This window comes from Homo sapiens, chromosome 13, assembly GCF_000001405.40.
Source record: "Homo sapiens chromosome 13, GRCh38.p14 Primary Assembly".
Classification (NCBI taxonomy): Eukaryota; Metazoa; Chordata; class Mammalia; order Primates; family Hominidae; genus Homo; species Homo sapiens.
Window position 1 is genome coordinate 110,456,198 of NC_000013.11, and position 14,854 is coordinate 110,471,051.

At 51.4% G+C, this 14,854-nt stretch overlaps 1 protein-coding gene and 1 long non-coding RNA gene across 2 annotated transcripts in view, besides 3 other annotated features; one reads left to right on the forward strand and one right to left on the reverse strand.

Annotated features, from left to right (window-relative positions):
- COL4A2 (collagen type IV alpha 2 chain) overlaps window positions 1-14,854 on the forward strand; it is a 205,926-nt gene that overhangs the window by 148,914 nt on the left and 42,158 nt on the right. Inside the window, exons 21-28 of the mRNA NM_001846.4 lie at window positions 1,146-1,238; window positions 2,574-2,737; window positions 5,917-5,989; window positions 6,081-6,187; window positions 9,208-9,409; window positions 9,806-9,865; window positions 10,843-10,899; window positions 13,020-13,127. Coding sequence (NP_001837.2) covers window positions 1,146-1,238; window positions 2,574-2,737; window positions 5,917-5,989; window positions 6,081-6,187; window positions 9,208-9,409; window positions 9,806-9,865; window positions 10,843-10,899; window positions 13,020-13,127 — 864 coding nt within the window. The remainder of the gene's footprint in view (window positions 1-1,145; window positions 1,239-2,573; window positions 2,738-5,916; window positions 5,990-6,080; window positions 6,188-9,207; window positions 9,410-9,805; window positions 9,866-10,842; window positions 10,900-13,019; window positions 13,128-14,854) is intronic.
- Window positions 200-7,090, reverse strand: COL4A2-AS2 (COL4A2 antisense RNA 2). Its single transcript, NR_171022.1, has 5 exons — window positions 6,826-7,090; window positions 1,894-2,089; window positions 1,486-1,522; window positions 1,328-1,390; window positions 200-1,159 (listed from the first exon to the last, which is right to left on the reverse strand). It is a non-coding gene; the product is annotated as a COL4A2 antisense RNA 2 (long non-coding RNA).
- Window positions 1,535-2,344: an enhancer, noted in NCBI's record as "H3K4me1 hESC enhancer chr13:111110079-111110888 (GRCh37/hg19 assembly coordinates)". NCBI's record gives its function as "activates a minimal SCP1, AML or CMV promoter by ChIP-STARR-seq in primed H9 embryonic stem cells {active_cell/tissue: H9 hESC(primed)}" and the evidence as "EXISTENCE:reporter gene assay evidence [ECO:0000049][PMID:30033119]".
- Window positions 2,345-3,153: an enhancer, noted in NCBI's record as "H3K4me1 hESC enhancer chr13:111110889-111111697 (GRCh37/hg19 assembly coordinates)". NCBI's record gives its function as "activates a minimal SCP1, AML or CMV promoter by ChIP-STARR-seq in primed H9 embryonic stem cells {active_cell/tissue: H9 hESC(primed)}" and the evidence as "EXISTENCE:reporter gene assay evidence [ECO:0000049][PMID:30033119]".
- Window positions 13,534-13,739: a silencer, noted in NCBI's record as "fragment chr13:111122078-111122283 (GRCh37/hg19 assembly coordinates)". NCBI's record gives its function as "represses an EF-1alpha promoter that drives an FKBP-Casp9 reporter gene in an ReSE screen in both phorbol 12-myristate 13-acetate-treated (for megakaryocytic differentiation) and untreated K562 erythroleukemia cells {active_cell/tissue: K562 | K562(+PMA)}" and the evidence as "EXISTENCE:reporter gene assay evidence [ECO:0000049][PMID:32094911]".

Sequence of the window (14,854 nt, forward strand, 5' to 3'; positions counted from 1 at the left end):
ACAAGGGGAAGGTGGTGGGCGAGGTCATCCAACATGGCTGACCATGCTGAATCCAGATTGGCCACAACATTTAATTAGCATAACAGTTATCCTAACTCCGTGTGTGTGCATGTAAGGCATGAAAGAGGAAACAGTGTTCTGGAGGGATGCACACGTGTGCCCCCATTCCCATATCAGAAAAAGATCAAAATGGGAAACTGAGTTCATCTTTTTTTTAGTTTTTTGGGGGGGAACCAGAAGTGTGTAGCAGTCTTGGAATCCAAGTTACATGATCAAAAAATCAAAACTTTTCTTTGGACTCAATGTTTCTCAAAAGGAATAATTGTTATCCCTATAGTTTAATGGAAAAACTAAATTTGCAGACTCTTATATTTCTTTCCAACCCTGAAGGCTATCGCCACAAAATAGTCTAAGTTTTCTTTTGAAAAAATGTGCTTTTGTTTATGAAATTGGGTTTATGGATCATTTGGGGAGGCTTGGCTGAAAGCCACCCTGGGCTGGGTGGGACACCAGGCGTCTCTGTGGTGCCCATGCCCTGTGTCTGGGGGGACCCTGGGCATCCTTGATGCTGGTGCCTCACAACTGGGTGGGATGCCGGGCACCCATGGTGCCGATGCCCTGCGTCTGCGTGGAACCCCAGGCGTCCGTGGGGCTGATGCCCTGCGTCTGCGTGGGACCCCAGGCGTCCGTGGGGCTGATGCCGTGCGTCTGCGTGGGACCCCAGGCGTCCGTGGGGCTGATGCCCTGCGTCTGCGTGGGACCCCAGGCGTCCGTGGGGCTCATGCCCTGCGTCTGCGTGGGACCCCAGGCGTCCGTGGGGCTGATGCCCTGCGTCTGCGTGGGACCCCAGGCGTCCGTGGGGCTGATGCCCTGCGTCTGCGTGGGACCCCAGGCGTCCGTGGGGCTGATGCCGTGCATCTGCGTGGGACCCCAGGCGTCGTGGGGCTGATGCCGTGCGTCTGCGTGGGACCCCAGGCGTCCGTGGGGCTGATGCCCTGCGTCTGCGTGGGACCCCAGGCGTCCGTGGGGCTGATGCCCTGCGTCTGCGTGGGACCCCAGGCGTCCGTGGGGCTGATGCCCTGCGTCTGCGTGGGACCCCAGGCGTCCGTGGGGCTCATGCCCTGCATCTGTGGTTGTCTCTCTAGGCTTCCTGTTTGGGCTGAAAGGAGCAAAAGGAAGAGCAGGCTTCCCTGGGCTTCCCGGCTCCCCTGGAGCCCGCGGACCAAAGGGGTGGAAAGGTAAGAACATCTGGGAGGGACGGGATGAGGACAGCCTGGCCTTTCCAAGTCCCTCACCTTACAGAAGGTGAAATCCATCCCCCACTCACGTGTTTGGACATGAAAATGAGCCTGCATGTCTCTCCCAGCCTCCTGTCCCCTTGGCGGTGGCACTGAGAGGGAGGCGCATGGAGCCAGTGGTGCTGTCTGAGCACTCGGCCCCCAGGCTCACCGTCCCTGCTCTCCATCTGCCATCCTCGTCACTGACCTTCCTAGCAGCAGTGAGCCTGATGCTGAGTCCTGTGCTGGGTTAAAAGGGAAAACAGTTATTTCTTAGGCTGCACTCAGGTAGTGTCTCAAGGGCTCAGCTCCAAGGCATTGTAACAGAGGTCTGTAGAGAGCTCTGTCCATAGCAAGGTGCTGGTATAGTCACCATCCCTGGTCCTACTGAGACTCGGTAGAGTGACGTGGTTTGCCCGGGTCTCCCTTCCCGTTGATGAGGAGGCGAACTTGGAACAGGTGGTCTTTGCACCTGACCCTTTCCAGTCACCTCAGGGACTCTGCCCCTAGCTCGAGGCCGTCCTCTGTGAGGCTCTGTGGGCCCTGGTGTGGTGCAGGCTGTGCTCCTGCTCACCTCTCCCCTCCCAGAACATGGGGAGCACTTCCTGGGACTTACCACGTCTTGGCCGTTTTGGCGTATGTAGGATGTGCAGTGCATTCAGCACCCCGCTGTGGATGGGCATGACCTGAGAGCAGGCACCGCAGGACCTGGAGGAAGTGGGGCCTCCCCACTGGGCATCCTCTGTGCCCTGGGGGAGCCAACCCCTGCCGCCAGCATGGTGCTGCCTTGCTGCCCAACTCCCTGGGTTCAGCTGTGGCAAAACAGAGGAAGAGAGGTCAGGCATGTCTTCCCTGCTCACCTATGACCTTTCATGACCTTGGCCTCTGAGGCCAGGGCTCTTGCCCTCCCTGACGGCTCCCTGGAGCCGGCTCCTCCCCTTGGCCCGCAGGCCCAGTGGTGGCAATCTTCAGCTCTAAGCACTGAATTCCTTAACCTCCTTCACACTCCCCGCAACTCAACCTATGCCTCTGAATGTGGTCCCAGTTTTTAAGTATCTTTAGTAAACATCAGAGTCAAATTCTGAACCCCATGAGACTATGAGTGAACACTTGAGTCACTTAGTCTGAGCCTCAGTTTTCCCATCTAAGAAATGGGGGTCATAGTGCCCATCAGAACAGGCAGTGTCCATAAAGCACCAAGTGTGCCACCCAGCTCTCCCCGCTGCCTGATACCCCTCTCCCCGCCACGCTAAGAGGAATGCGGAACAAGGAGGCCCTCCTCTCCCTCCTCTGCAGGTGACGCTGGGGAATGCAGATGTACAGAAGGCGACGAAGCTATCAAAGGTCTTCCGGGACTGCCAGGACCCAAGGGCTTCGCAGGCATCAACGGGGAGCCGGGGAGGAAAGGGGACAGAGGAGACCCCGGCCAACACGGCCTCCCTGGGTTCCCAGGGCTCAAGGTGAGGAGCAATTTCATCATGAAGCTGGCAAGACACTCTGAGGCCTCCCCAGGTGTCCCGTTCTTGCCTTTTATCTCCTAAGTTTACACAGCTTCAGACCGGCAACACTCATGGACCCAAGGCATGGCTAAACCATTCTAAAAACCCACATACCCCAAGGCGGACTTTCTACATGTCCACTGGTGAGACTGAGAAGGGGCGCTGCTGTGGGAACCGCAGCCGACAGCTCTTGAAAGAGTTCAATAGGGGGTCACCACGTGACCCAGAAATGCCACTCCTGGTGTATCCCCAAGAGACTTGAAAGCACGTGTCCACACAAACACACATACACCAATGTTCACAGCAGCATTCTTCAAAATAGGCAGAAGGTGAAACTATCCAAATGTGCGTCACCTGATGAATGGATCAGCTAAATCTATACAGCATCTATACCACAGAATAGCCCTGACCTTCACGTGGGAGCAAGGTGCTGAGCCATACCACACTGTGGATGAACCTGGAACATGTTATGCCATGGGGATTGAGACCCACACAGAAGGACACATGCTATCACATGGTCTCTCATTCTATTCTTATGAAATGTCCACACAGGCAACCTAGAAACAGGAAGTCGATTGGTGGCTGCCACAGGTGGAGGTGGGGGTGGGGGTGGGGAGTACCTGCTTAATGGGAATGGGGTTTCTTTTTGATATAATGAAGATGTTCTGAAATTAGATAAGAGTGATGGTTGCACAACCTTGTGAAAATACTAAAAATCACTGAATTTTATGCTTTAAAACAGTGAACTTTGTGCTATATGAATTATATCTCAAAAAAACCTATCATTTTTAATGTAAAGGACATTATTTATTTATCGAACATTCGCCTTCTGAAGTTTAGCAAGAACTGATTCAGCATTGTTGGAAGGCTTCCTTCACCTGATAAAAAGCAAGACCTTTTGATTTTTAAACTGTGCACGTGCTTGTGTGGAGGTGTGGACCCCACACACATCAGCTCATGGCCTTTATTCTGTGCCTTATGCAAAGGTCACCTGCAGCAGACCTTTCTTCCGTGGCAGATTTTAGCTGACCAAAGAGTTCAAAGTGAATTTCAGATGTAGACAAAGAAAGTATACTTTTTGTTGATTTTTTAACTTAAAAAGAGAACTCTGGGAAATTTATAAAGCAAAAAGTTCATTATTTAACATATTCAGCAATAGAGGAAAAACAGTTGGTCAGGACACTTGGCCAAGGAAACTTAAAGGATCTGAGCCCACAGCATGGAAGGAACCGCAGCCCCGCAGAGCTGTGTTGCTGACGGCCATGACTCCCAACTGCTTCATGGCACGGAGCTGTGCAGGTGAAAATGAGACCCGGGCACCTCGCTGATCCATGCCCTAGGTTTTCTCAGAAAACAGATAGGAAAATTCAACAAAAAATAGCAGGTGCTCATTTTATCCCAGCTTAAAAAGGATGCGATCTCTGAATCATGGCTGTCTAGCAGTAAAAGTGGCTCTAGTATTCAGAAAAAGTGCGTGGGGTGAGAACTGCACATATACCAATGGCAAAGCTAGTAGGATCCTCAGTTGTTTAAAACGTGACCGAATATTTCCCAGAAGCCAAATGGACCCCATTCTGTGCCCCTGAAATGTCTAAAACCTTCCAAGCACACACGTCCACAGAACTTTTGTTCACACGCCTCTGGCTGTGCCTGGTGTCCTGCACTGAATTCTATGATTGTGTGTATGGAAACCACACTGAAGTGGGAATACCTGAGACCATTTGGGAGTTTTTTGGTTAGTTTTTGTTTGTTTGTTTTTATTGTTGTTTTTGGTTTTTAATATCTGTACTGGTAGAGTGGCAGGGCGCTTGAAGTGTGGGAGTGGGTCAATAAGCCCATCCCTCCATCCATATACCCAACGTGTATTGATCGATTGGGTCTGGTCTGTGTGTGAGGAACTCTCCTAGATTCTAAAGTAATGTTGCAAAGCACTAAATAAATCAAGAATCTGTGGAATTTTCTAGAAGGGAAACTCCCAATTACTTTCAACATTGCATTTAATTAAAGCAACTCCACACATTCCCATATTCTTGGAAATAGCGTCAACCAAGATATGTCAAAAGCTAGCACAGCTCACGTTTGAAAACACAACGCTGATGGGTACCCTGCTCATCGTGGAAAGAGCTAGACGCGATTTTCCAGGCTGCGATTTGAGAGTCCCTGCAGGCAGCTTCTCTCTAAAGTATCTTTTTCTCTCAACCTTAACCTCAGTGCAGGAAACAAATTTCTATTAAATACCATTTATTGTTCTCAATATTATCACAAAATTTTATCCTCCATACCTGGATTAACCTGCTTGGCTCCTAAACGACTGTGTTTTAGAGGAAGCCACCTTGACTTTTAATTCAGTGCTTCTCAAAAGGCACCGAGCCCGTGGATCCCTGGGGCCTCTGTGGACACGAAGGCAATGATTCAGCTGCCCCGGGCTGGGGCCTGCACATCTGCACCATTGGGCAGAGCCCAGGGACACTGAAGATGGGCCTAGGACCTGGGTTTCCCTGTCCAACCACCTGTGGCTACTTCCACTGCATTGTATTTACTTATTTATTTATTTATTTATTTTTGGAGACAGAGTCTCACTTTGTCACTTAGGCTGGAATGCAGTGGCAAGATCTCGGCTCACTGCAACCTCCACCTCCCTGTTTCAAGTGACTCTCCTGCCTCAGCCTCCCGAGTAGCTGGGATTACAGGCGTGCACCACCACACTCCACTGCCACACTCGGCTAAGTTTTTGCATTTTTAGTAGAGACAAGGTTTCACCATGTTGGCCAGGCTGGTCTTGAACTCCTGACCTCAAGTGATCCGCCCACCTCAGCCTCCCAAAGTGCTGCGATTACAGAAGTGAATCACCGCGCCCGGCCACATTGTAATTATTTAAAATTAAAGAAAAGGTACCATCCAGTTCCTCAGTCCCACCATCCGCAGTTCCAGTGCTCCACAGCCACTGTGGCCAGTGGCCCCACACTGGACAGCTGGATGGGGGCGTATCCAGCATCGCAGAAAGTGCTCCTTGGGTGGCGCTCGGTTTGGTGACGGGTGACTGCCTGCCAGCTGTGTGAGATGAAAAAGCTTGCCAGCCATCTTCTCAGATGCCCTCACAGTACAAAGAAGGAAGATATTTTTTTGTCTGTTTTCCACAGGGAGTGCCTGGCAACATTGGTGCTCCCGGACCCAAAGGAGCAAAAGGAGATTCCAGAACAATCACAACCAAAGGTGAGTTCCTCTCTGGCCACGCGGCCCCTGGGGCACTGAGCCTTCCTGTGGGCACCTGCCTGGGCAGCTTCACATGCAAATCCCTTTCTAGGTGAGCGGGGACAGCCCGGCGTCCCAGGTGTGCCCGGGATGAAAGGTGACGATGGCAGCCCAGGCCGCGATGGGCTCGATGGATTCCCCGGCCTCCCAGGCCCTCCCGTGAGTAGCCACAAACTGCGGCAGCTCCGTCCTCTCTTCTTCATCCTTCAGGTTCTCCAAACACCCCAGAAGCAAACAGTATTGACATGAGCACTAAACCAACCTGTGCATAGGACAGGCTGCTCATTCTGCTCATTCTATTTCTAATGAGCAGAAATCAGACTTTTTAGGAAACGGTGAATTAAGTTAGAAGCCAAGCTCCAAATGAACATTTAAAAGTCAACAATCAAAGAAATATTCCTCCTGGTGTAACAGACTAAGAACCCTCCCCCGCCAAAAAAAGTAGACTATTCTAAAATGGGTGGTGGAACCCTATTTTTCCAAGGTAAATCATGAAATATACAATTTCATTTTTGCAACAAACACACACTGGTGTTGAAGGAGGGGCTACCTAGTAGCCTGCAGAGACCCCAGCATCATTTCCTCAGGGGAGGCTGGGGTCAGAGGCGCGGGAGGCAGCCATGGAGGGAGACAAGACCCCTTCCTGTGCACCCTCCAGCCTCTGAGCCTCTCCTGCCACCACGCCTTTCCCACTGCCAGCTCTGGAGCATTCTCTTCTCAGAAGGACCTTGCAACCTTATTTCTCACGTCTTTTTTTCTAGATTCCATTTTCCTCCCTCTAGTCACCAAGCCTGTACCTCCTTAAGCTCTTTGTACTGGTTTCCTGGGGCTGAGGTCACAAACTGCCACAGACTGGGCAGCTTAGACATCAGAAATGTATGGTCTCACAGCTCTGGAGGCTGAAAGCCGACATCAAGGTGTCTGCAGGGCTGGTTCCTTCTGAGACAGTGCGGGAGGATCTGTCCCTGCCTCTCTCCCAGGTTCCCGGAGCTCTGGCATTCCTTGGCTTATAGACGGCTGTCTTCTCTCTGTCTTCTCATCATCTGTCCTCTCTGTGTGTCTGTCTCTGGGCCCAAATTTCCCCTTTTTATAGGGAGAGCGGTCATATTGGAATGGGCCCATCCTAAAGACCTCATCTGACCTTGAGCACCCTCAAAGACCTTATTTCCAAATAAGGTCACATGTCTAGGTCCTGGGGGTTAAGACTTCAGCATCATTGGAGGACGATTGAAGTCATAATCCTCTTTCTCCTCCTCAGAGCCTCACGCCTGAATTCTATTCGCAGCTTATTTGCCTCATTCCATAACCCATGTCTTCTCTAGTTTTAACGTGGGTCATGTCTGTAATAACACTCTTGAGTGCAGTGGTACAATCAAAGCTCACTGCAGCCTCGAACTTCTGGACTCAAGCCATCCTCCTGCCTCAACCTCCCGAGTACCTGGGACCACAGGTGCACACCAGCACACCCACCTAATATTTTTAAAATTTTCTGTAGAGATGAGATCTCTCTATGTTGCCCATGCTGGTCTCAAACTCCTGGGCTCAAGTGATTCTCCTGCCTTGGCTTCCCAAAGCACTGGTTTTATAGACATCAGCCACCACACCCGGCCCACATTTTTACAATTTAAGTGCAGTTTTTTGGGGCCAGAGAACACAGATAATTCTATGATTGGGTATCTTAAAAATCTCATCTGGGAGGCAACAGGGTTAAATAAGAGGCAAAGTCATAATTGGTCACTTTAGCCAGAAGAGGAGGATGAGTGATGATTCCTGTGGTTGGAACAGTCTTTGGCCTGTTCAGTGTCATGTGGGGTGGGGGTGGTGAGTGTATGTGTGGTGTGTGGTGTGCTCATGTGTGTATGTGTGTGGTCCGTTTGAGTCTGGATTTGTTACGGTAGTGGTGGCCTTCCCTGGAGTTGGTGCCTTGTGAAGTTGGTGACCAGGAGGTGCACCTGTCCAGCCATGGGGTTCACCCACCCCTGCGGCTCCCAAGCCTGGCTGCCAGTCCCAGCCCAGCTGGGGGCAGGTGGTCGGAGCAGGGTTAGGGGTAGGGGTGAGGGTTAGGGTCAGGGAGAACCTTGCAGCCTCAGCTTCCCATTCTCGGGGTGTAGGGACTTTCCCAGTGCTTGTGTGCCTTCCTTGTTTGGTGGCATCTCTAAACCAAGAATGTCAACTTCTGCCTTTAGAAAACTCGTGATCCTGCCTGTGCCACCTTCCAGTGGCATCATCCCCACTGCTGTCCACTAAGTTTGGGGCATCTGCCCTGTGATCTCTGCAACAGCCTTGTGTCCCCCTCCCCTGTGAAAAAAAGCTAAAACACAGGGGTACACCACTTAATCAAGGTCTCATAAATAGAGCTGGACCGGTGTCCCTGCCCCGCTCCGTCATGCCTTTGACAAGGAAGGGGCTGTGGTGTCAGTGGAGAGCAGGGTTTGATTTCTTATAAGCAGCTGCCTCATTGTCATGAGAACACCCAGCCTCGTCCCGTGGCTCAGCAGATGAGCGGGAGCTTATGCGCATGGCTGTTCCACCAGCACGTGGGGACAGCACCGAGCCGTGCCGTGGTGTGTGCGCAGATCACACCAGCATCACTGCTGCCAGCCTCCCCACCCCATCCCTGCACCTCCCACCAGCTCCCCCCCGCACCCTGCAGCTGGTGCTTTCATCCACAGGGCAGCCCCTCTCCATTCCCAATCCTGTAATCTCTCCTGACTTCTGAGGCGCACACGGCTCTTTCCTTGTCCAAATTAGCTTCCTTTCCTTTAACAACGTAGCATCTCTTAAAATAACAGCCATTTTACCGATGCTAAATTATAACAACAAAATCATGTGTTTCTTTCTCCACCCACAGTAGAACACAAAAGCCTGTGCCTTCGCTGTTCTGGAGATGAAGGCCCAGGCTGATGCAGGGGAGCTGGCGGGTGGGAAGAGAGAAATGCTCAAGCATGTACATGTGCCTTCCAGAACCGGCTTCCGTGGCATTGCTTAGACTGCTACACAGTCTGTCACTGGCTCCTGTGACCTGGCTGACCATGGCACTAGGTTCCTGTTCATCTCTGTTGTCTTTCTGTTCTGGATCCATAGCTCAGAATTCCGGGAAATGGGAAAGGAAACAGGGAAGTCGAGGCGATCTTTAACATTAGTATATATTTTAAGAAATAAACTGAATTTTCACACAGGGTGATGGCATCAAGGGCCCTCCAGGGGACCCAGGCTATCCAGGAATACCTGGAACGAAGGGTACTCCAGGAGAAATGGGCCCCCCAGGACTGGGCCTTCCCGGCCTCAAAGGCCAACGTGGTTTCCCTGGAGACGCCGGCTTACCTGGACCACCAGGCTTCCTGGGCCCTCCTGGCCCCGCAGGGACCCCAGGACAAATAGGTATGAAGGAATCCTCCCTTTTACCTTTCACAGTCCTGAGACATTCCACGCTTTCCTTTGTCAGTGTAGACGTTTCCCAGTAGAGTCAGATGAGGATGCTGTTTTGCCTCATCTGTTCTCGCACGTACAAGGGATGACCCAACTGTGAGGTTTCTGAGCCCCCACCAGCCTCCCCTCAGCAGCTGAAACATGCAGCCTCTCCTGTAGGACTACAGTGACAGAGGCCTTGCCCGGAAGTTCAGAGATGGCTTTCCCGTTCCCTGCCCATTTCAAAGCCTTCCTGCCCCCACCAGCAACATATACGACACACCTTCACACACGTGCACGCCCCAGACGAGCCAGTAACTCTTATCTGTTTCAAAATTGCCTCACTCTGTCCTTATGTCTTCCCCCCAGATTGTGACACAGATGTGAAAAGGGCCGTTGGAGGTGACAGACAGGAGGCCATCCAGCCAGGTACTCTGGGAAGTGCAGGTGGCTTTAGGACACTAGAGAACTCTCATTTGGTCTGCTGGTTAAGCTCTTGCAGTATGCGTGGGATAAGAAATATTAATAATATGTGCAAGCCACGTTTGATTTCCATGGCACAACATAGTGGCCTGGTGAGCACTATACATTGCATGAATGACAACCTGGTAGAGACGGAGAGACATTTAACCAAACCCCTCTTGTCAGAAATCCTTTTTCACTGGAAAGCACCAGTGCATTCCAACTCAGCTCCACAGGCACGTGTGCTGCCAGGAGGGTCCAGGCAGAGGAGGCTGAGCCCAGCCCAGACGGTGGCGAGGATGTCAGGCCAAGATGGGAGCCTGGTCCAGATTCCCAGGCACACAGACAAAAGAAAGCTCCAAGAGTGACTGTTCTTGCAAGAGAGCCTCTTAGACAAAGGGCTCTCACAATACCCCAGCTGGAGTGTCACTGCTCCCAGCCACACCAACCAGAAGTGCCCACAGCCTTGATTTAATTTTGCAAGGTGGCTGATTGCTGTGGTTCACTCTGAAAGTAAACAAAGTCACAAAGGAGAAGTCAAATAATTCATTTTGAAATCGCAGGCTATCTCCATTGCTGGCAGATGCTTCCAGACAAAAGAAAAGCATCCACACTGACTTGCAGGGTAGCAGCCAGATTAACTCGGTTTGCACCCAGGCTACTGCCCTGCAGGAGGGAATCAATTGTTTGCCAGCACAGTGCCAGTTTTTATTTGACTAGACTGGCTTAGTTTGCATTTTATACGAATATTTTGATTTCATTACACAATGAAATTAAACTTTTATTTACATCAGAACCAAGATGAATTAAATCATTAAGTTACTCTGATCCCAGAATGGTAGCCGGTTTGCACAGCTCGTGCTTTTGCCCTTGGGGATCCCCAAGGCCGTGGGACTCAGTGTTTAGGATTGCTTGGGCTCATCTTTTCTCCTTTCTGTCCCCAGGTTGCATAGGAGGGCCCAAGGGATTGCCAGGCCTGCCAGGACCCCCAGGCCCCACAGGTAATGCACGGAGGGAACCTGGAGTGCACCCAGCCTTCCTCCCACATCTTCACACTGCTGTGTCTCCCCCGCCCATCTTTCCTCTGGTCCTGCATCCCCCACCCCAGACATGGTCGTGTCCAGCATCTCAGCACAAACTGGTCTTGCGCCTACAGGGAGCCCACTGTCATTTGCCACTATAGAAAAAGGAGTCTGGTAGCTGACACTTAGTTGGGGCCAGGCTAGAAGAGAAAATTCAGCCATGGCTGCAGGGGAACGCCCCCAGGGGCAGAGATGGAAGCCTCGTGTTTAGGACTGGAAAGGGGTTGCACTTCTATGTATTTTCTTTTTATGCCTTTCCATCCCAGGATCTAGGGGAAGAACCTACAGGAGAGGATGCTTTCATTTGGGTTTTGATTAACAGGAAACGGGAATAAACAAGGCTAGAGTGTTTTGTCTCTAGCACCTGGGAGGACCTGGGCTTCTATCTGCTGGCCCAGGCCATCTCTCAGCCCATGTGAGAAAGAGTCTGGGTGCCCTTCACAGAGCCCATGCCTAAGGCCGCCTGCGTGTCCAGTGTTGGCGGTGCAGGCCTGGCTGGCCACCACTGCCGTCCCGCCTGCGCTGCGATTCTGCTGCCCTGCACTCCAGGGTCTCCGTGGGCCTGTGAGCATCGGGGAACACAGAGCCAGGGCTTCCACTCAAGCAGGAGGAGGGCTGGACCCTGAGAGGTGGCTCTATGCCTGTGTCCATCAGCCTGAGAAAAGCAAGTTCTCTGAGCAGTAGGAATTCCCCTTTGGATGTCTCTTCCACTCGGCCTGTGATGGGGCCGGGGAAGCATGTCACTTGGGTAACTCAGTGTCACAAGCACCAGACACAGCCAGAGCTGTTCTCACTTGTTTCTTCTGGAACTAAGTCCCCACCTATGCAAGATGAATAGTGCAGACAGGTGTTCTAGATGCTTCCTGCTGCACAAATCATGCCCTCACTGCTTCCCGTGATAAACTGTAGAGAGCGACACCAGTGTAGTATGAACAGCAATGAGAGTTAGGAAAGTGGACGGACACATTCTATGTGCCCTGCACCTTAAGGGGGTCTTCGGAGTGCACCGTGATCACAGGGCCTGGGGAGCACAGGACAAATGCAGAGGTATCATTTGCACTGTGAGCAGAGGTAAAGGCTCCTTGTGTTGTCTTCTGAGAACTGAGCTTGTATCTTCCGCGTTCCATTAGACCTGCCCCCGGTCTAATTCCATCCATGGATTTCAACACCGTCACTCATACAGCAACCCCCAAAATGGTGACAACTCTGCATGTCTCAGGTGGTCAGGGAGAACCAGAGGCCAGCACGCTCAGCACACACCCAGACTACAGCCGTGTGCCAAGGCCGGTCTCCGGGAAAGCTCCAGTGATGCGAGTGTGGGTTTCTGAGGCTCCGGGGCTCCCCCAGCCATACCCAGTTATTTCCATTTCATGCCCAGGCCCCCATTACTGGGAGCCCCTTGCTGGCCTCCCATCCGCTCCTCCCTCTCACTCCTGCTGTCCGCACTCCACTTTCTAAGAGTGAGGGTGGGTTTGATCACACACATCCCCTTCCCAAGAGGCGCCAGGAACGGGGATAAAAAAGTGTGGCAGATGGGTTTTGTGACATGGCTGAGGAACCTCAGCCCTTCAATTATCAGAAAACACTTCTGGAGCCCACACACTGGGCCAAGCAGGATTCAAGTGTTTGAAAAGAGTCACCTCATAGTCCTCGTGGCGTCCTCATGAGGCAGGCGATCCTTCTCCCCACTTTACAGGTGAGGAAACTGAGGCACAGAAAGTTGTCCACGGTCACACAGATAGAATGGTAGGGCCAAAATTTATAGCCAAGCATCTGACCCCACCTCCAAAGCCCTCATTTAGAGCACTGTAGAATCTAAATATTGGATATTATCATTCTTATGGTTCCAGTCCGTAAACAGGATTTTAAACACTGAAAATCATTCTGTAAGCCTGGAGGTGCTGTTTCAGGCTGATATTCCCCCCAGCCTCATCATTTCCCGGTTTCATGAGATCCACATTAAGTCAGATGCCAAGCATGACCATGCCCATTTATCCTCGTGGAGCCTGATGTGGTTTGTGGTTTATTTGGTTATTTAGGTGCCAAAGGCCTCCGAGGAATCCCAGGCTTCGCAGGAGCTGATGGAGGACCAGGGCCCAGGGGCTTGCCAGGAGACGCAGGTCGTGAAGGGTTCCCAGGACCCCCAGGTGAGTTGAGATCAGACCCCCATTCAGCCCCTGGGTTCCAGCGGGAACCTGTGTGTGATTCATAAGCATCCAGCTCTATTATCTTCCACTTTGTAGAAGCTGTTTTAACAAATACTTGACAACTTTTGCATTTGTCCTTGGGAGATTAGAAATTCTTGATTTTTCATAACTGATATTGTACTGGGTTTTTGCAGAAGCTATCTACAGATCTTGCAGGAAAAAGGAGACAGGTGTTTCGGAATGGCTGTCCTCCGCAACACCTGTCTCCCAGGTATGTCCTCAGTGTTAATAATGATTAATATTAAACATTCTAAGGGCAACACAAAGTTATCCTCTCCTGAAAGAACCCTTAAAGGCATAAATAGCCCTCTCACAATGTGGCTGCAAGAGCTTAAGGCATTAATCTGTATGTGGAGGAAAATGAGGTTTCCCTTAACCAGCTCTGGTGAGGAGTACCCACTTGCGTGTCAGCATGCTCTGGAATGCAGCCAGGCGTCTGCAGACATAGGTGTCTTGCAGTTGTGCCACAGGCGATGTGCATGAGTGTGATGGCACTGCCTTGATTGCAGGGGCATACACGTCTTTTTTTTTTTTTTTTTTTTTTTAATGAAATGGAATCTCGCTCTGTCACCCAGGCTGGAGTGCAGTGGCACAATCTCAGCTCACTGCAACCTCCGCCTTCTGGGTTCAAGCGACTCTCCTGCCTCAGCCTCCTGAGTAGCTGGGATTACAGGCATGTGCCACCACACCTGGCTGATTTTTGTATTTTCAGTAGAGACGGGGATTTCACCATGTTGGCCAGGCTGGTCTCAAACTCCTGACATTAGGTGATCTGCCCGCCTCAGCCTGCCAAAGTGCTGGGATGACAGGCGTGAGCCACTGTGCCAGGCCGCACACATCTTCAATAGTGTTTGTCTAATGAAACCATGGAAGCCATTGTGGACAACTTTCCACCCGAGATGAAACATCCTTCCACAGGGTCCTGGGCAGGTTCCTGCAGCCTCTGCTGGAGTCCCACTTGTCACCTAGAACCTGTGGCACATTGGAACCCTCTTGTTGCTAGAAAGTTCCTCCCTGGAATACAGCCTGCCTCCCAGGGAGTTCTCACCGGGCTGTTCCTGAGCCACACAGTTGACTTCCTCATAACCACACACCCTGAGAGAGGCGGCCACATCTCCCACAGACGTCTCATGAACAGGCAGAACTGACCCCGGGAACACATACTTTCTTTTAATGACATCGTTCCATGCCCTTGGAATTCTGAGCAACCTTCTAGGACCCCCACTTATCAGGATTCTTTTCCAACTGGGCTCTAGAAACTGAATAAAGCGCTCCCCATGTCTGGAATATCACACAGAACATCGGGACTGTTGCGCCCTTAGGTTGAACATCTTGCAAATGTTCCCAGTGAAGACTAATTGAACCCTGCCCCTCCCCTGACCTCCACTCAGATAGCTGATTTAAGCCTCAATGCAGAAGTGTCTGTCCGTCCCTGATAGATGGTATCTTTCGGAATTTTGTGTTGCAGCCCGTAGGGATTGTTCCAAACCCTGACCCTGTTTCCTTTCATATGATGCGTTTCTCCATGTTTTGCAAAATTGGGAAGCAGGCTTCCTGTGTCTGTATCAAGGCCCTGGTAAAAACAACTCTGCATTCGAATGAAGCAAAGGAAGTCTCCATGCCTCTGCCCCAGGGGTTGGTCTCTGTGGTTTTGTTGCCCTGCTGGA